The sequence below is a fragment of the Homo sapiens genome, chromosome 11, assembly GCF_000001405.40.
Source record: "Homo sapiens chromosome 11, GRCh38.p14 Primary Assembly".
Classification (NCBI taxonomy): Eukaryota; Metazoa; Chordata; class Mammalia; order Primates; family Hominidae; genus Homo; species Homo sapiens.
Window position 1 is genome coordinate 75270166 of NC_000011.10, and position 19828 is coordinate 75289993.

Here is a 19828-nt window from a genome sequence, read left to right on the forward strand (position 1 = left end):
GCAGCTAAAGAGCTGAGTTAAACTGTGAAGCTTGACCAGGCGCAGTGGCTCACGCCTGTGATCCTAGCACTTTGGGAGGCCAAGGCGGGCAGATCCCTTGAGCTCAGGAGTTCGAGACCAGCCTGGGCAACCTGGTGAGACACTGCCACCACCACCCATCTCTACTAAAAATACAAAAATTAGGCTGGGCGCGGTGGCTCACGCCTGTAATCCCAGCACTTTGGGAGGCCGAGGCGGGTGGATCATGAGGTCAGGAGTTTAAGACCAGCCTGGCCAAGATAGTGAAATCCTGCCTCTACTAAAAATACAAAAATTAGCCGGGTGTGGTGGCGGGTGCCTATAATCCCAGCTACTTGGGAGGCTGAGGCAGAGAACTGCTTGAACCTGGGAGGCAGAGGTTGCAGTGAGCCAAGATCGTGCCACTGCACTCCAGCCTACCCGACAGAGTGAGATTCTGTCTCAAAAAAAAAAAAAAAAATTAGCTGGGCATAGTAGAGCACACCTGTAGTCCCAGCTACTCAGGAGGCTGAGTTGGGAGGATGGCTTCCACCCAGGAGGCAGAGAAGGTTACAGTGAACCAAGTTTGTGCCACTGCACTCCAGTCTGGGCAATAGAATCAGACCTTGTCTCAGAATAAAAAATAAAAATAAAAATGTGAAGCTTGTGCCTGCCAGAATCGTTACTTAAGTCCCCTCATTGGGAACCTGGGGGTTTTATAAGGCTGTCAGAGCTATTTGGCCTTTTTTTCCTTCTCTTTTTTTTTTCCTTTTGCTTTGGGGATTGCTTCAGAATGGAGCTGGTGGAAGACTGGGTTTGCCAACATTTTAGTGGAAGAATCTGGATCTTAACCTTCTACCGGGCCAGGAACGATAAGGTCAGGGACCACATCTGATTCCTCTCTGGGACTCTGGCACTCAGCACCAGCCTGGACGCAAGCCTGGGTTGAGGAAATCTTTGCTGAATGATATGGAACTGAATTGAATTGAATGAATTTCACCTGTCAAATTAGTTTAAGATTTCTTAGGATGAGCCACACTGCCATCTTGTGACAGAAGGAGGCCAAACTGCTGTGTTTGGGGTACATGCATTTTTGGAATATAAGTGCATCCAGCTGGCTGCAAGGAGACCTTGTTTACAAAATAGGATCTCCTGAGGACCTCTCCTTAGCAACACTTGGCCAGCAGTTCCCTCCTCACTAGTGTAGAAGTTTGAAAGCCATGAAGTCTGCATTTCTCCAAAAGCTCCTATAATTCAGGTGATCAGTAATTCAGACAGCTCTCTTGGGGGCCACTCCCTGTATCAGTGTAATCAGGCTTTGCTCTCTGTAAAGATCCCTGTCACTCAGGTGGGATGGAAGAGCAAGGTGAGGTTTGTTAAGGAGAAATTGTGTCTCCCAGCTCACACCTGAACCTGGCTATCTGAAATGACCACTAAGATTCCTTCCAACCCAGTGCCCTGTGATTCTGGTCAGTCAAGCCAATGGGCTCCAGGCCCTCCAGGAAGGTGGGTGAACCAGGTGGAAGGGAGGAATTTACCTGGATGCAAGATCTCCCAACAGGCTGGGTGGGTCAGAGGAGGCAGGAGAAGTGGTCAGGAGAGAGTTCAGAGAGGAAGAAAACAAAAAGCACATTCATTCACCACTTCTGCTGTCCCCCGGATAGAGAAGACCCACGGGACACACTCCCACCCACCCCCCTGCACAGCCCTGACTGCTCTTTCAGGGATACACCGAAATGGCATTAGCCCTGCCCCGAGGGACTGGGATCCAGACCCAGCTCAGCAAACCCCTGAGCCCCAGGATCCTCATCTGTCAAGGCAGTGTAAAAATTAACCCCAGTGCTGCCTGTCCCAAGGGAGGCCGGACTATCTAAAGGCAGAGGGAAGGACTCCGGGGTTGCCAAGAATGTTTGAGGGACTGTGGGTCCTGAAAGGTCACCAGACACAGGATTTGGGATTTGTAATTTTGAGATGTCCTATTATATAAGGTCAGGATTACATACTGCCACCTGCCAAGAGGCATTCTTCTAATAATCAAGGAGACCCAATGTCTAATGGGATTTAGCTTTTCAATCTTTTCATAGAAATTTATGAATTAAGTTACAAAAAAGAAACACAGTAGTTTGTTTGTTTGTTTTTCTCCCTGAGCTTCCACCAAACTATGCTCCAGGGCAGGGCAGTCTGGTCCACCACTATGACCTGAGTTAGGAGAGGAGATTTCAGGCAATGTTTGGGGCACTGTCTGGGCCTCTGTTTCACCATCTGTAAAATGGGAAAGCTGACTAGCAAATCCCCAATCCAGCTCTGGGTTCTGAGCCCTTTTAGCTGTTTCCTCAGAAAATCAGCTTGGGCATGCATGGGGGTGGGTGCTATGCCCAAAGTGTGATAAGGAGATGGCACCCCTGGGGACCCCACAGCAAAGACTCTGAGGACGCCGTCCCCTGGGCATGGCCAATCCTCAGTGCGAGCCCAGACCTAGGATAGAGGAGGAGGAGAGAGAGAAAGAGATGGGTGGGGGTAAGAGAGGGGCTGAGGGCCAAGGAAGGAAGAGAGGGAAAGCGGGCGGGGGAGAAAGAGGAACAGAAGGGAGGAAAAGAAGGGACAGGAGGTTCCTCCTCCAAGGTGGATGCAGCTAAAAGGGCTGCAAACAGGCAGAATGGGGCAGGGGCCTGTGGGCACCTGGGACGCTCCCCTCTGCACTCCGGGGTCTTGGGCTTGGCTGGAGCACTCACCCGCCCCGAGACACCACCAGCTTCACTTTCACTTTGTAGGAAACAATGATCCCCAGGATCTCACGGTTGGCACCTTCCCTCAACCTGCAAAGTGACACAGGGGAGCCAGTTCAGGGGCCTTGCCAGGTGGGCGAGACACCTCAGGGGTGGGTATGCTGGGGGGCAGTGGCCGTCCATCCCCCATCTGGCTAGCCACTCAGCTACCATGTCCAATAGAGCCCAGTGGAGATGAGGAAGGCGAGCAGTGCCCTTAGGTAGCAGGGACCCAGAGCCCCGGTTCCAAGTCTGACTGTGAGACTCGCTCACTGTGTGGCCCTGCTGAGCCCCTCTCCCTGCCCAGGCCAGCGTCCCCGCCATGAGGGCCAGGCTCCTCCTCCCCTCAGATGGATTCTGCTTCTCTCAGCAACCCATGGGCAGAAAGGGCCACACGGGGAGTTCACAGAGGGCGAGGCAGCTGGGGTGGGGTGGGGTGGGGGCCATCAGAGAAGGACTTCTCCGCAGAGGTGGTGCTTCAGCTGGGTCTTGAAGATGGGTAGGGTGTGAGCCAGGGTGGAGACAGGGCAAAAAGCTTCAGGTAAGTGGGAGGCTGTGCAGGGGCTGCTGAAGAGAGCTGAGTCTGTGCTGGGAGTGGCGGCTGCTCTAGACGTAGGCCAAAGCCCCACTGAAGGACCACACTGGCAAGAGGGCAAGATGGCATCCCCATAGCCAGGGCTCTGCTGGAGCAGAGTAGCCTAGAGGCGTCCACGATGACTGTGCAGCAGGAGTGACCAGATGCCCTGGGACCCCTGACTTGGAGGGGCACCCCATGTTGGGTCTAACCCAGCTCACCACCCTGGTCTCTCCTCAGGGACACCCCATCTGACTGAAGGCATTACGTCAGAAGCTGCCACCTCTTGCAGGAAGCCTTCCCAGGTTGCCCTCCCCCAGGCATGGTAGCAGAGCCCAGCACTGCCTGAGTGAGCTGGCCTAGTGGTCCATCTTATTCTCTCAGTCACCCCTGGGTAGGGTTGGGAGTAAGGAGGCAGCTTCCCTGACAAGTCAAGCACCTGAGGACAGGCCCTGACAAGGCTATGGAGAGGGTAGCCTGAGCCTTGTCTTTGAACTGGGGGGACCAAGGAGGGTGTGGCCCCATCAGGCAAGATGCACTAGGAGCCCAGGGCTAGGAGGGCAGGTCCTCACAGGGTGCTAGAGGCCAAGTTCGTGTCTTCGTGCTTGAGCTTCCCGTCCAAGGCGAGGCCCCGCTTCTCTCGGTTATTGGCTAGGAAGGGGGTCAGTGTGTAGACCTTGCAGAACGTCGAGCTGGGTGCCACAGTGTCACTGGGAAGAAAGGAAGCAGCTGTGGAGATGGCCCTCCCCAGAGCCAACCCCAGCCCTGATCTCCAGCCCAGCAGAATATCTAGTCTGAGCCTGCTCCAAGTCTCCCTCTCCCAACCTCTGTCCCCCAGACACACGGACCACTTGGGCCAGCCCAGCTCGGGCAAGGAGACCACTGCCACTCAAAAGAGGCACATCTACATTCTACGCACAAACAGGACTGAATCTCGGATATTCTAAAAGATTATCCTAGTCAAGCAGCACAGTGCTAAAAAGCACATTTATTTAAAGAATTACAGCCAGCCGGGTGCAGTGGCTCACGCCTGTAATCCCAGCATTTTGGGAGGCCGAGGCGGGTAGATCACGAGGTCAGGAGTTGGAGACCATCCTGGCTAACAAGGTGAAACCCCGTCTCTACTAAAAATACAAAAAAATTAGCCGGGCATGGTGGTGGACGCCTGTAGTTCCAGCTACTCAGGAGGCTGAGCCAGGAGAATGGCATGAACCTGGGAGGTGGAGCTTACAGTGAGCCGAGATTGCTCCACTGCACTCCAGCCTGGGTGACAGAGCAAGACTCCATCTCAAAAAAAAAAAAAAAAAAAGTACAGCCACAGCAGGCACAGTTGCTCATGCCTGTAATCCCAGCAACTTGAGAGGCTGACAGGAGGATTGCTTGAGGCTAGGAGTTTGAGACCAGCCTGGGCAACATAGCAAGACCCCATCGCTACAAAAAATTTTAAACATTAGCCTGATATGGTGGTGCACACCTGTAGTCCTAGCTACTTGGGAGGCTGAGGCAGGAGGATCACTTGAGCCCAGGAGTTCGAGGCTGGCTGTAGTGAGCCATGATCATACCACTGCACTCCAGCCTGGGCAACAGAGTGAAACTCTGTCTCTAAACAAATTTAATTTAAATTTATTTTATTTTATTTTATTTTATTTTATTTTATTTTTTTGAGACAGAGTCTTGCTCTGTCGCCCAGGCTAGAGTACAGTAGTGCGATCCTGGCTCACTGGAACCTCCACCTCCCAGGTTGAAGCAGTTCTCCTACCTCAGCCTCCCAAGTAGCTGGGATCACAGGGGCGCGCCACCATGCCCGACTAATTTTTGTATTTTTAGTAGAGATGAGGTTTTGCCATGTTGGCCAGGATGGTCTCAAACTCCTGACCTCAAGTGATCTGCCTGCCTCAGCCTCCCCAAGTGCTGGGATTATAGGCGTGAGCACCAGCCCTGTCTCTAAACACATTTTAAAAAGAAAAAATTATAGCTACACATAAACCATAAATGAAGCTATTTGGGCACCCATATACCCACCATCTAGGCTCAACAATTAAAACTTTACTTGCTTGATCACATCCATCATATATAGGGTGTTTTGATTGTCCAATTTTTACTTGCTTTTGCTCTATCCCCCATCCTTTCCAATGAGAGAGCTGTCATGCAGCAGATAGTGAACAAGCCTTGGAGTCGGACGACCGTGTTCCAGCCCCAGCTTTGCTGCTTGCTAACTTGCAAGTCACATCTCTCTGAGCCACTTCCTCCTCTACATACTGGGGCAGCAGCAACCCCAGCCCCACAGCGCTTCCTGAGAAGTAAACAAGTCTGTGAGTGCAAATGCCTCCCCAGCCATCCCTGCTGGTATTCGTTATGCAGACGCTGGCACCATCTGCAGTGGTTGGGATTTTCTACTCTTTAGGGATTATATGTTACTCTGGTTCTAGATCACTTCACTTTACCATCAGGAATCTATGCCTCATAGCTCTGATTTTTTTGAAAAAATCAACAGTGGATATGAAAAATATCCAGTAACCAGAGAAAGCTTGATCTAATCATAGCATGTTCACCTATAGGACATTAAAAACTATTTCAAAGGCCATGTAGTAACATTTTAAAAATATTTTCAGTTGCAAGAAATACTGATTGGAATTATACATAAACAAATACACATATACATGTAAAATTATATCAGGTATAATTGCCCCAAGAAATTACTTGCAGGGCCAGGAAAAAAAAATGTGTATGTCTTTGAATGGGAGCATTTACTTCCTTTAGGTAAGTAAAGATGTTTCACTTCAGATCTCTCCACTTGCCTTAGCTGCCAACAAGCCTGGGACAAAGTTCGATCCATGCTCAACCATAGCAGTTCTCCTCAAACCTAGATGATTTTTTTGTGTGTAATTATTCTCTGCACTCCCACACACAACCCCTTTTTCCCAATGAGTTGGATTACCCCTTTATCAGACAAGAGCTGTGTACCTAGTGCCTTACCCACTTTGCCCTGGCTACCAGGAAGCCAAGAACAAAGTATTTCCCTTCAACCTAGGTTTCTTGTACAACGTAATTATTTCTTCTCACAACCCCAATCCCCTTACATTCATTAGCTATTGTTTTGTCACTCTAGTTTTAGTGGGTCTCTTCCTTGACTGTAGCATGCATTTTCTTGAAGCTAAATCAGGTGGATGGTTTCTAAAAGGCTCTTCGGGATCATCTACTCTGAGTGGCAAGGAAGTCTGAGGCCCAGCCCTCTGCCAGGTGGAGAAGAGCCACCTGGACCTGTAACAGGACACCTAGAGCTTCTCTTTTTCCCACCCAATCCCATACGCCCAAGGCCAGACTTGTGCCCACTTACTCAGCCTCTTCCATGGCAACAGGGCACTTGTACTGAGCTGTGTTGAAAAGGCAGATGTCTGCATACTGGCGCACTAGGGAGGGAGAGGAATCAAGGTGGAGTGAGTCGGGAATGTAGCTCCCATGGAGTCTCACAGGCGTCCCCGGGTTGGGGATATTCAGCCCCAGGCAATGGCCAGAGGCCACCAGTGGGGACTTCTGCATAAGACCACCCCTGTCTTACATCCAAAGGGTAGCCCCAAACACACCCATTTCCTTCCATAACCAAAGCCTTCCCCTCAAGGACAGCTTTGTCCAGAACCCAAGAAACTGAAGAGGTGGCTTAAAGAGCAAACTCATTACCTAGCCAATAAGCAGCCTGCCTTACCCAACTCAAAAGCTTTGCCCTGTGGCTCAGAGCAGGCCCTGGGCTTCAGTGGCTATTTTTTATACAAGGCTGTTAACAAGGGGAGATACTTCAGCCACCCCCAGCCCTTGGGAAGATTGCCTCTCGCTGTCCCCTAAGCTGACCCTCTGTCTGGGATACCTGAGATCTTGATCTTCTTCACCGTCTTGTTGGTGTTGTTGGTGACGTGGACGTTGACGCTGATGGGTTCTCCATGGTAATAGATCTGGGGGGCATAAGAAGGGACGGGGTTGGCTGGGAGGACAGCAAGGTTCTAGGGAAAGGGGAGGGAGAAAAGCCCCCACGCGATCTTCTGGGGTTCCCCAGACCTTGCGCAGACCTTCAGAAGGGTCTGCTGCTCCCATCTGAAGTCCATCACATCCCTCAGGTTCATGCCCCCTCTGCCACTCCTTTAGGCCCAAGAGGCTTCTCCGAATCCCCCAAGGCATTGTGACATTTGCCCCAAGTTCATCAGCCACTTCCCACTGCTGCTAAGGTGGCATGAAAGCCACCAAGCACATTAGCCTTCAGTTCCCTGGTGGGACCCTTGAAAGATAACGGAATTGGAAGGTGATAGTCCTGGGCTCCAGCCCTGGCTTGGCCAGCAGTAATTGTGACAACAATAACAACAATAACATTGACGATGATGAAAGCAGTGTGACCGTGGGTAGGTTATCTAAGCCTCAGGGTCTCCCTCTGTGCAACGAAGGGGTTGGACTAGGTGATGTCTGAAGTCCCTGCCAGCTCTAAATTCTGTCCACAGAAGGATCTGGAAGAAGCAGGGAAAGGTGAGGATGGGCTCACCAGCTCACTGAGGGAGCCAGCTCTGAATCCCTACAAAAAGACCTCAACTTGCATCTTGCCCCAAGGCACTTCCCTTCAGCCATGCCCCGAGAGAGAGGGGGTGCCCACACCTTGAGGAGGGGCCAGCCTAAGCTCACAGCAGTCAGCTGGGTTTGATTCAGAGTTTGAGGGGAGGCCCTTCCTTCTGCAGGGCTTGTCGCCCTGACGCTCAGTGTTTGGCAGGAAGGTCACGGCCCCCCACCGTGCCCCCTCTGCAATGCTGGTTGACCTTCAGCACTCGGCCTGAGGCAGGCAGCTGGTGGAGGTGTGGGGGAGATGTCCAGGACCTTCAGGAAGGTCTGCTCCTCACTTCGGAAGTCCATCACATCTCTCAAGTTCATGCCCCCTTTGCCACTCCTTTAGGCCCAAGAGGCTTCTCCAAATCCCCCATGAGAGGTCTCAGATTCCCTGACCCCTGTGGTCCTTGGGCTGGGGATAGAAGCTCCTACCTGAGGCATCCTTGCAGGCCAGGAGAGAGCTGGGATCTGAGGCCCAGGCCCTGGTGGAGCAGCCCCCACCCCCTGCCAAGTCCGAGCCTCCTACCTCCTTATCCAGAGAGGCTTCTAGGTGCAAGGGCTTGTCCGACATGAGGAACTGCCTGGTGGTCTCGGCTGTGGGCTGGGGGCCAGGCCTCTCTGGGGCATACTGAACCTTCCGGATGACCAGACGCACAGAATTCCTAATGGAGATGGGCGGAGTGAAAGAGGACCAGGGTCACCTGCCTTCATCCCCTCTCCTTGCGAGCCTCACATCATTCTCCTGCTCAAGAGACTGGCATGGCTCTCCATCACCTTAGAATCCAGCCAAACTGCAGAGATCAGCATAGGGGTCTGTCACCATCTGGCTCCATTCCATCCTCCCCTGTTCTGTCCCAGAAGTGCCCTGTGGCTGCACTTCATTTGGTCCTGGTACCCAGCAGGATGCTGAAACAGGGACTACATTTTTCACCTCCTGCTTCCCTATGTCACCAAATAGGTAACATTGTCACTTCCTGACTCCCTATGTCACCATACACAAATAGTGTCCCTCTGTCATCTATTTTGGTGACATAGGACACTATTTGTGTAAGTTCTTTAAGGACAGAAATTTGTGTCTAAGGTGTTCACAGCTGTACTCTCAGCACCTATGACTGTGCCTGCCATATAATAAACAACTGCCAGATATCTATTATGTAAAACTATGCAGAGGGGACAGCGGTCTCAAGAAGAAATGGGGCTTGGGGAGGCGTTGGGGTTCAGGGAGGAGGCGTGGATTCAGTCAGGGGGATGCAAGCCAGTGAAGGGGACAAGCCCAGGGAGGGGAGAAGGCCCATGGATGAGACTGGCTCCATGAAGATTACAGGGGATCAGGGAGCAAATGAGGATCTGGTGAGGGAGGGGGACTTGGTGAGGCCGTCTCTGTGGCATGCTGGGAATGCCGGCATCTCCGTTGCTCAGATAAGCTGCCTCCATTGCCTGTAACCAGGGAGCCAGGGTCAAACTCCCAGCTCTCCTCTTACTAACTATGTGGCCCTGGGTACATTAACCTCTCTCTGCCTCTGTTCCCTAATCTGTAAAGGGTGATGACAGAAGGACCTACCTCTTTTTCTCCTTTTTAAATTTTTATTAATTTATTTATTTTGAGATGGAGTCTCACTCTGTTGCCCAGGCTGGAGTGCAGTGGCGCAATCTCAGCTCACTACAACCTCTGCCTCCCAGCTTCAAGCAATTCTCCTGCCTCGGCCTTCTGAGTAGCTGGGGTTACAGGCATATGCCACCACACCTGCCTAATTTTTGTATTTTCAATAGAGATGGGGTTTCACCATGTTGGCCAGGCTGGTCTGGAACTCCTGGCCTCAAGTAATATGCCTGCCTTCGGCCTTCCAGAGCTCTGGGATTACAGGTGTGAGCCACCACGCCCAGCAAGGACGTACTTCTTAGAGCTGCTGTGAGGATTAAATTAGTTCATACAGCCCAGCACTGTAAATGGTGTCTGGCACCTAATCAGCCCTTGATAAATGATAGCTTCTATATCATTATTATTAGTAACTCCTTGGTGTGGATTTTAAATGTCCCATTGGTGGTAGGGTGAGAGGGGTGGCTCTCGATGTCACCTCCTCTTTCTTGTGCTTACCAAGCCTCCTCCCACATCCCACAGCACCCTTCCTCTTCCCTGGTCTCAGGTCTTAAGAGGAAAAGGGAGACAGAGAAGCAAGGGAGAAAAGTCCCATCTCCTCACACACAGCTGCCAGGGCTGCAGATGCAAATGCATGCAATACACCCTATAGCCACCAGGTGGCAAACTCAGCCCACGCCCTAAAAAGGCTGCTGTGCCCTCAGCCAACCTCCTCTGGGACCAGTGCCTCTGGATGCAGGCACATCAGCGTCGAGGGCCCACCAGCTATTCCAGGAGGCAGACAGAGCACAGCCCGACCCAGGAGGGGCAGGCATGAGACATCCGGGCCAGCTGTTTCTGGCTGCCAGCCTGGGCTCTCTGTCTGCCCGGGCTGTTCTTCTCCAGAGAACGCTTCCCATCTCTTAGATGTGGGCCGACCTCCCTGTCACTCTCCCCTGGATGGGTTCACTATCTCCACTTCCTCCTCACTTAGAAGCTGCCATTGACACACACTCCACTCCTGCTGAACGCCTCCCAGGAGGAAAACTGGAAAATGAGAATGGTCAGGAAACAGCCTGCTCACTGTTTAACACAATCTGAATTTAGGGTTTTTCCAAAACAAATTAAAAAGACATGCAGTCTGGAGGGGATGAAATGAGAGGCAGGGAGATGAGGGAGGAAGCTGCCACAATGGTGCAAAGGAGAAGATGCTGCAGCCTGAACCCAGGCAGTCGAAGCCACCTCCCCAAGGAAGCCCTCCGTGACCTCCCAGCTTCCAGAGTGCCCTTCCAAGGCTGGAATGTGCGCCCCTCCTCACACACTTCCAGGTATTGTTACTTATCTCCTCTTGGACTTTGCCCATCCTGTCTCCCTCCCTCACCCAGCAGGCGGCCCACACCCTGGCATCCTACTCACCGCTTGTGGATCTTCTCCTCCAAATTCTCCGCGCAGAAGGCTTTGACTTCATAGTCCACACCGCAAGCCTGTGGGGAAGGGGTCACTGACCACAGGGCCTTGGAGAAGCAGGGTCCCCAGTACACAGCCAGCCCACCTCTCATTTTACAAACGAGGACACTGGACAGGAACACCAAGCTCCCACAGCCCAGCCTTCCTTGGTCTGGAAGAAGCGGGGGAACGCCCTTGTGCTCAGCCCCAATGCTGTGCTGCCTCCTCCATCTGACATGGGACATCTCGAACCACCCAAACGGGGCTCTGCTCTTTGGATTCCTGCCTCAGTCTGGGTGGCCGTCCTCATCCAGGCAGCTGCCCAGAAATAGCAACAGGCACCTGAGCAGACTGGGGGCGCCTACTACTGTGTGCACACCCGGCCCTGGGTGGCTTATCCGGTATTCCTCTAACAAGACAAGGAGGCACGTGCTGTTATCTCCATCTTGCAGATGAGGAAGCTGGGCTCAAAGCTCTGGAGCTAGTGGTGTCACTTCTCTCCAACCCTCAGTTTCCCCATCTGTGAAATGGGGATGATCGCACTTTGATTCCAGGTTGCCAGGGGTTACATGAGGCCAGGTGTAGGTCCTCAGAACACTTTGGTCCTGTTGCAGCCAACGCCACCCAGGAGAGCCTCCAGACCCATCACTGAATGGGAGAGTGAGGCTGACCCCGTACCTGCTGCCCTGTCTGAAGAGAGACTGGTTGTCCAAGGTGGGACCAGCTTAGCCTAGACACAAAGACTGTTCAACAGGGAGAGTGGTCCTGTGTGTCCAGCACCTCCCAGGGAGAAAGCCAGGGACCTGGGGACATGAGACTCCTGGAGCCAGAGAGATGGTCCCCTTGGGGTGACCTACCTTCCCCGTGTCTTCGGGCCCCGGCTGCAGTGTCACAGAACATGGAAGGTTTGGAGGGATCTGTCAAGAAGAGGACAGAACGAGCCACCTGTCACATCCACCACTGTCCTGTCTCATGTATTGCAGCCCAGACACTCCCATACACCCATCAGACCAAGGGCCCCAGGGGACAGGCCATGTCTATCCCATCAGACCATGCCAAGCCATGCCCCATCTAAAACTCTTTAGATAAAGAGCTTTCTTTATCTAAAGGGTTTGGCCCAGCCCAGTCCTCGCAGCAATGGTTTAAATAGATCTTTCTATGATGTCTACTGTGGTTGGCAGAATAATGTTCCCCAAAGATGTCCACACCCTAATCGCCCAAACCTGGGACCTTAATGACAAAAGTGACTTTGCAGATCCAATTAAGGCCTTGAGATGGGGACCGTATCCTGGATGATTTTGGTGGGCCTAGTATAATCACAAGAGTCCTTAGAAGTGGAAGCAGGGGGCAGAAATGTCTGAGCCACAGTGATGGGATGTACAAAAGACTCAACGGCCACTGCTGGCTTTGACAATGGAGGAAGGCACTGTGAGCCAAGGAAAGCAATGCTGGAAAAGGTGGACGCTCCCCGAGGGCCTCCAGAGGAGCCAGCCCTGCCACGCCTCCATGGTAGCCCACTGAGACCTGTTTTGGGACTTCTGACCTCCAGAGCTGTAAGCTCATACATCTGTGTTGTTTTAATTGCTGCCGAGTTTGTGGCAATCTGTTTCAGCAGCCATAGGGAGCTAACATGTCTACGTAGAAAAGGTGACTCCATGACCCTCTCCACTCTCTCAGCCTCCAAGAAAGGGAGAGACCACACTGAATCTCAGAATCAGAGAGCCTAAGAAACTTGAGATTTTGAAATCCAGCATCTTAAAGTCTCTGATTTGAAAGGTGGTGGGGCAGACAGATCACCTACTTGCCATCCCTCTCTTGCGAGCTGGGTTGCTGCCGGGCAAGTGGGGAGCTGATCTGAGCGGGAAACCCCTTGCAGTGATGCAGGGTCCAGAAAGGGCTCTTTCTTTCTCTGAAGCCCCTTAGCACCCCCTTTCTCCCACCAATGACCTGGCCTCAGAAGGGTCTGAGGAGTAGCCCAAAGGTACAGGTGACAAACCCCAGCAGGGGCTGGAGAAGAGACACTTACCAGGTAACACAGGTGACAGTGCCCCAGGTCCCAGCATACACTGGGAAACTGGGTGGCAGGGAGCAGCTGACCCTCACCGCCCTCTTATGCCCACCCCAGAGGGCTTCCTAGAGGTGGCATTTCTGGAATGGGGCCCCAGGGATGGCAGTTCCTGACCTCAAAGGTGAAAGGGTAAGCGTGCTCGCCCAGCTTCTTGATGAGGCGTTCCTGCAGCCGCGTCAGGGGCTTCTTGTCCTCGGGGGCCGGTGGGAACGACTGTACGTTGGCCACAAACAGGTCCTTGCGAAAGGTCAGGCCCAGGACATCCAGGTCCTCCCGGCCATAGCGGAAGGCGCAGGTCAGCGTCACATAGACTGTGGGGAGCGAGGAGCACTGAGGAGGGGCCTGGGAGAGCAGCAAGCGAGCCCCCCAGAGTGCCGGCAGCAGCCCTGGGACGGGCCCCACTGGAGGCCCCAAGCCTGTCCCAAGCTCTGTGGGGATGGCTGCACTGTCTCCACCAGGAGGGCTGGTAGTGAGTACCGGAAGGATGCCATGGCCTGGCCCCTGGGAGGAGGAGGGGGCTGCCTGCTGAGCCAGCTCTGTCCTTCCCCCTCCCACCTCTCCCCAGGGCATATGTGGAGGGGTATGGAAACGGTCTGACAGGCTTGGCGGGGGCTGGAGTAGTCTGGCAGGCCTGGGGTGGGGGTAGGGGACCTGGGGAAGGAGCAGGGAGTTGTGGGGGCAGGGCAAGTGCTGGGTGGTATCTGGACGGCAAGCGTCTTGTCACAGCTCAGTCTGCACTCTTGTCTTCCTGCGCATTGATACTGCCCCGGTATCAATGTTCTGTTCTGTTAAAGAAGAACCTACTCCTACCCTGCTGGCATCCCCAGCCTTGCCACAGTCATGACATATTGATGTGAAAGTGCTCAGGGCATGGGGAAACCTTCTCCCAAAGTAAGCTTGGGGCAGGGCCGTCCCAGGCTGGAGGAGGCAACGGCATCTGTAGAGGTATTTGTTGGGGCTTTCAGGGGAACCAGTGGGGATGGGCAGGGAGTTCCTATGCTAGAGGTCCGGGGGGAAGAGGAGGCGGCCCTTGACAGGCTGGGGATGGGGGCCACAGCCTACCTCTCCGCTCTTTGAGATACTCAGGATCCACCAGGACCACACCATCTGGGGAAAGGACAGAGAGTAAGCGGCCTCTCCCAACCTGGTCTCCCAAACCTCTGTGCCCCAAACACCAGCCCAAGCCCAGATCCAACCATCTGTTCATCTAAAATCATCCTGAGAAAAATGGAAAGGCGGGCACCTAGAGGGTGGCACTGCCCACCTCCACCACGCTCCACCCTTCCCCCATCCCAGGCCAGTATAACAGACCCAGCTGGTGACTTTAGGCAGGTTAGAGACCATTTCTGTTTCTTCATCTGCTAGTAAGAATAATAACCTAGGTCCGAAACTCCTAGAACCAGGTATTCTTTGGAATTTAGAAATTGCGAAGTATAGAGAGGCAAAATGGGCCGGGCGTGGTGGGTCATGCACATAATCCCAACACTTTGGGAGGCTGAGGTGGGCGGATCACTTGAGGCCAAGAGTTCAAGACCAGCCTGGCCAACATGGTGAAACATCAACTCTACTATAAATACAAAAATAGCTGGGCATGGTGGCGGGCCCCTGTAGTTCCAGCTACTCGGGAGACTGAAGCAAGAGAATCACCTGAACCTGGGAGGCAGAGGCTGCAGTGAGCTGAGATCATCCCACTGCACTCCAGCCTGGGCAACAGAGCGAGACTCTGTCTCAAAATAAAATAAAATAAAATAAAATAGGCAAAATGGTACATGTTCCATATATTCTGTAATGACCTCTGCAAGATCTGTACCTTATTATTAAAGCCATTAATACCTCTGTAGGAAAACACAAATATTCTCACCAAGAGGCTAAATAAGGCATAAATAGCCTCGCATCAGTTTGGGTCAGGTTTGCCAATAAATGAATTCTGCATTAAACTTGGAAGCAATGTTAGGTTTTCAGAGCTTGGGCTTGGCACATGTGGATTGGGGGTTGTGATCTGCAGTGCCTCCCTCATGGGGCTCCCGTGACGACTGAATGGGTACATGTGTGAATGTGCATATGTGTACAGCGCTTAGACAGTGCCAAGCACTCGAGAGCACTCTGCAGATTGTGGAAGGCGCCTCAGTGCCCTGAGGCCTGCCCTTGGGGGCAGAGTCCAGCTGGACACAAAGGACATCTCTGCTCAGCACCCCAGGAGGCCAGAAACACTGGCTCAGGGTCACCCCCTTGGCTGACATCCCCTGTCTATCTTTGGCCAAACCTTTCTTTCCTCTCTCTCTCCCCCTACCCTCTAACCCATTGTCACTTCACTGCTGGTGGAAGAGGAGGGCCAGGATGGATCATCAATGTCCTGTTGGGCAGGCCAGTGGGCTTGGACTTGTGTGCAGGTTTGGTGGGGAACCGGTAAGCATAGGGAGGGTGTGATCAGATCAAGCCAAATGGCAGCGTCACTATGGGAGAAGAATCTCTCACAGTGAGTCCCTGATCAGCTCTGCACAGTGCCCCAGAGTTCTCGGGGATACCAGGGCTCACAAGGGGCCTGGCACAAAGGGGGTGCTCTGTGAACACCTGCTGAACAGCTCTCAGGGTGCCTGCGTGTGTTGGGGGCTGGTTTCCTGCCCCTGTCCTCTCCCAGTCTCTGGGCCACCTCTGCTGCTGTCCTTAGTAGGCCAATGGACATGGACAACCCTGGCCTCAGAGGGCCCACTGGAAATGACAACATGAAGCAGCCACAGATGAACACCAGGATGCCTGCTCCCGGCCTCTGAGAGGCCACCTCAGGGAGAAGATGCCAATGGCAAAGGGACACTGAGCTTCAGAAGACACCAAACAGCATCCCAGGCAGGGCTGGAGGGGAGAATTGGGGGTGTTCTGCTCTAGGCCATGAAGGGCTCTGCTGACAGCCCCCTGGCCCTGGGAGCCCAGGGTCCCCAGGTCTTCCTCCTGGTGAGCTGAAGCCTGCAGCCGGGCTCGCTTCCTTGGCTCAGGAACCACACAAATCACTCCTGCCCTGGACCCAGGACAGCCCACAGGGACATGATGGGAAAGGCCATACTAGGCCTCACTTTGATTTGCTCATCTTTTTTTTTTTTTTTTTTTTTTTTTTTTTTCTGAGCCAGAGTCTTGCTCTGTCACCCAGGCTGGAGTGCGGTGGCATGATCTCGCTAACTGCAACTCTGCCTCCTGGGTTCAAGCGATTCTCATGCCTCACCCACCCCAGTAGCAGGGAATACAGGTGCATGCCACCATGCTCGGCTATTTTTTTTTTCTGTATTTTTTAGTAGAGATGATATTTCACCATGTGGGCCAGGCTGGTCTCAAACTCCTGACCTTGGGTGATCCACCTCCCAAAGTGCTGGGATTACAGGCGTGAGCCACCGCACTTGGCCTAAAGACATTTTTAGTTGGCCTAACTGGAGCGTGAGGTACTCTGGGCATCGAATGAGTAGAGACCAGGGATGTGGCTATCCAGCCTATAACACACAGGACAGGCCACACTAACAAAGAACTATCCAATCCAAAATGTCAAGCATGCAGAAATTGCAAAACCCTGAACTTGAACAAGAACTTGGAAGGTGCCTTCAGCCACAGCCCAGCTTCTAGCAGGAACCCCATGTACATGAGGACAGCCCCCATTTCACAAGTCCTAAGAAGGGTTCTCCCTCTGTCTCCCACTCTTTGCCATCACAAGGAAGCAGAACAAAGAGTTTTGCAGACTCTGCCAGGTTTGAACCGGGCTCCTCTATCTACTCACTCTATGACCTGGAGTAAGTCACTGAGCCACTCTGTGCCTCATTCTCCTTGTCTGGAAAGCAGGGATAGTCATCATAGCCACCCCCACTGTCTGCTACATGACACGCCTTATAGTAAGTGGCGGTGTCTGTCGTCATCACCCTCACCCTTCTTACCATCATCAGGACGCCTTCCCTGATTGTCACCTCAGTCCTTCCCACAGTCTCTTCTTGCAGTCCTCACTTGAGTGGGAAAGTAGCTGCTCAGTAAATGCTTGCTGCCTGAAGCAGGAAGCCATTCACCCCCGTTCTTGGCACCGGGCCCCTCTGGAGAGCTGAGAGCTATTTCTGGGAGGCTTGGCCAGCCACATCTTCCCCCAGCCCTCCTCTCGCCCTCCAGGGACTCACCCACAGGGTCCACGAGGTCGATGTGGTCCACAAAGTCCCGCTTTCCCAGGTAGACGGTGAGCTGAGGAGGAGAGGCATAGGGGGCGTTAGCAGCTGCAGGCCCAGAGGACACAGGACCCTGTCTTGGAGGAAACCCTGCGGGCAGCCTCTGAAACTCCAGACCCATCCCTAACCCTTATCAAAATCCTAAGTGGACTTGGGCCTTCACCCCAGCCCTAATACCAAGATTCGCAAACCCCTGTAAAATCTTAAAAGCACCACTTCCTCCCAAAACCCTTGAAGGAGTCATTATTGTTCCTGTTTTACAGATGAGGACACTGAGGCCCGGAGAGATCTTCATGCCAAGCACCACTGCCAGTGGAGCAGCAGCGGCAGAGAAGCTGGGTGAGTGGGAGTGTGGGCATCTCAGAGGGTGAGAGCCCCCAGGCAGGCGGGAGCGCTGAGCCCTCAGAGGCTCTGAACGCGGGCCGCGCTGTGTTCTTCAGTTGCTCCTTCTCCCATGCAGCCAGGCGGGGATCCACTGATACGAGGACTCGTTTCCTTTTTCTTAAATAATTTTTTTTTCGAGATGGAATTTTGCTCTTGTTGCCCGGCCTGGAGTGCAATGGCGCGATCTCAGATCCCTGCAACCTCCGCCTCCCAGGTTCAGGCGATTCTCCTGCCTCAGCCTCCTAAGTAGCTGGGATTACAGGCATGCACCACCACACGCAGCTAATTTTTGCATTTATAGTAGAGATGGGGTTTCACCATGTTGGTCAGGCTGGTCTCAAATTCCTGACCTCAGGTGATCAGCCTGCCTCAGCCTCCCAAAGTGCTGGGATTACAGGCGTGAGCCACCGTGCCCGGCCTAATTAATTTTTTAAATTGAGTTAAAAGTATATGTTATTTATCATGTACAACACAATGTTTTAAAATAGATATACATTGTGGAAAGGTGACATCCAGCTAATGAACAAATGCACCACCTCACACAGTTAGCAGTTCTGTGTGTGAGGACTTGCCTTCTGAGGCACTGAGGGTTTGGGGGCTCACGCCCCACTCCATAGCCAGCCGGGAGGGAAAAACCCCCGAGACAGAATTCCAGCGGCTAAACCAGATCCAGAGCGTCATCCTGATGTGTGCTGTTCCTCAACAACCCTTCAATCCTTGTGACTCGATCGCCATCATTATTTCTCAAGTCCGTACCTCTCCATCCCCACAGCCACTCCTGCCTAGACCACCACACCAGCCCCTTGCTGCTCACTCGCTGAGAGCCTGCTCTCCTCCTTAGCTAGACTAGTCACCCTAAAATGCAAATCTTTCTTTTTTTTTTTTTTTTTGAGATGGAGTCTCCCTCTGTCGCCCAGGCTGGAGTGCAGTGGTGCAATTTCAGCTCACTGCAACCTCTACCTCCCGGGTTAAAGTGATCCTCACACCTCAGCCTCCCAAATAGCTGGAACTACAGGCATGCACCACCACGCCTAGCTAATTTTTGTATTTTTAGTAGAGACAGGGTTTCAAACTCCTGACCTCAAGTGATCCACCCACCTTGGCCTCCCAAAGTGCTGGGATTATAGGCGTGAGCCACTGTGACCAGCCCTAAAATTCAAATCTAACCATGCTACTGCCGCCTGAAACCCATTAATGGTTCCTCAGTGTCCAAAAATAAGGATGACAAATGGGTTTCATTCCAAGTGCCAAGTCTGATCTACCGGCGGGGAGAGGGGACGGGGAGCTGTCTCGGACTCTGGGCTGAGAAGGAATCTAAGATGAAACCCTGGTGCAGCAGGGAAGGGCAATGGTGACTGATGTTATCTACTGTGGACACAGAAGAGAGATGTGGAAGCACACGTGGTGCTATTTGCCAACCCAGGCCAGCTCATAAGCCAAGCCACAGTGTTCCCGTGACCAGCCCTGCAGCCTCTCAGCCTCAGCCTCTCTCTTGGCACTCTGAACTCAGCTGCTTAAGATTCCCACAGTTCCTATGCTTTTATGTCCTGCCTACAATGCTGTTTTCACCTTGCCTTGCTGGAAATGCATCCCTCCTAGAAGCTGCCGCTGCCCACCAGGCTGGGTCCTGCAGCCCCAATGGCCCCGTATCTCCCCTCTGCCACTTCATGTTGAAATGATGGATTTCTGTGTCTGCCTCTGCCATCTGGCTGTGAGAGGCACAGACTGTGCCTCATTCATCTGAGTACACCCTGCCCCTGTCCCCGCCGGCTCAGCCCAGACCTGGTGTGGAATGGTGTCAGTAATGTCTACCTGCTAAACTGAGGGGGAAGCAGGATGGCATCTGGACCTGCAAGGAGAAAGCAAGGAAGCCAGGCCCTGGGAGCTGCCCTGGCTAAGGAGGTGACGCTAGGGTCCTCTCACAGCAGGGGACTCACTCCCCCACGGCCCTCGGCGCTTACTGGTTGGCTTGTCCTCCACTGTCACATACTTACTGAAGTCTCTCTATGACAGGCCGTCTCTCCCTACACCAGAGCTCAGGGGAGCTGTGCTTCCCCACTCTGAAAGTTTCCTGAGTGTGTCCCTCCCCCTTCAACTGACAGCTCCAAGAGAGAGAGCTGTGTCACCCCTAAGACGGGGAGCAGCACCTGCCCCCTCCCACAGAGGTGTGCATTTCAGGGGACATGCCGTTTCCTCTGCTTCCCAAGAGAAAATGACCAGAGTGTGAGGTCAGGGAGGCGCTGGGCGCAG

The 19828-nt window shown here is 53.1% G+C and overlaps 1 protein-coding gene across 9 annotated transcripts in view, besides 3 other annotated features; it reads right to left on the bottom strand.

Annotated features, from left to right (window-relative positions):
• The window catches only part of ARRB1 (arrestin beta 1), a 91540-nt gene that overhangs the window by 10044 nt on the left and 61668 nt on the right, over positions 1-19828 (bottom strand). For 5 of the 9 annotated variants that reach the window (NM_004041.5, XM_017017752.3, XM_011545034.2 and 2 more), the window contains 11 exons: positions 17150-17210; positions 14070-14114; positions 13122-13318; positions 11797-11856; positions 10910-10977; positions 8444-8579; positions 7199-7283; positions 6674-6746; positions 3909-4046; positions 2730-2813; positions 1536-1559 (listed from right to left, as the gene is read on the bottom strand). In NM_004041.5, coding sequence (NP_004032.2) covers positions 1536-1559; positions 2730-2813; positions 3909-4046; positions 6674-6746; positions 7199-7283; positions 8444-8579; positions 10910-10977; positions 11797-11856; positions 13122-13318; positions 14070-14114; positions 17150-17210 — 971 coding nt within the window. The remainder of the gene's footprint in view (positions 1-1535; positions 1560-2729; positions 2814-3908; positions 4047-6673; positions 6747-7198; positions 7284-8443; positions 8580-10909; positions 10978-11796; positions 11857-13121; positions 13319-14069; positions 14115-17149; positions 17211-19828) is intronic. The other 4 variants (NM_020251.4, XM_017017754.3, XM_011545035.2 and 1 more) reach the window with 1 other exon arrangement.
• Positions 2394-2895: an enhancer, noted in NCBI's record as "H3K4me1 hESC enhancer chr11:74983603-74984104 (GRCh37/hg19 assembly coordinates)". NCBI's record gives its function as "activates a minimal SCP1, AML or CMV promoter by ChIP-STARR-seq in primed H9 embryonic stem cells {active_cell/tissue: H9 hESC(primed)}" and the evidence as "EXISTENCE:reporter gene assay evidence [ECO:0000049][PMID:30033119]".
• Positions 7713-8213: an enhancer, noted in NCBI's record as "H3K4me1 hESC enhancer chr11:74988922-74989422 (GRCh37/hg19 assembly coordinates)". NCBI's record gives its function as "activates a minimal SCP1, AML or CMV promoter by ChIP-STARR-seq in primed H9 embryonic stem cells {active_cell/tissue: H9 hESC(primed)}" and the evidence as "EXISTENCE:reporter gene assay evidence [ECO:0000049][PMID:30033119]".
• Positions 9796-10671: an enhancer, noted in NCBI's record as "H3K4me1 hESC enhancer chr11:74991005-74991880 (GRCh37/hg19 assembly coordinates)". NCBI's record gives its function as "activates a minimal SCP1, AML or CMV promoter by ChIP-STARR-seq in primed H9 embryonic stem cells {active_cell/tissue: H9 hESC(primed)}" and the evidence as "EXISTENCE:reporter gene assay evidence [ECO:0000049][PMID:30033119]".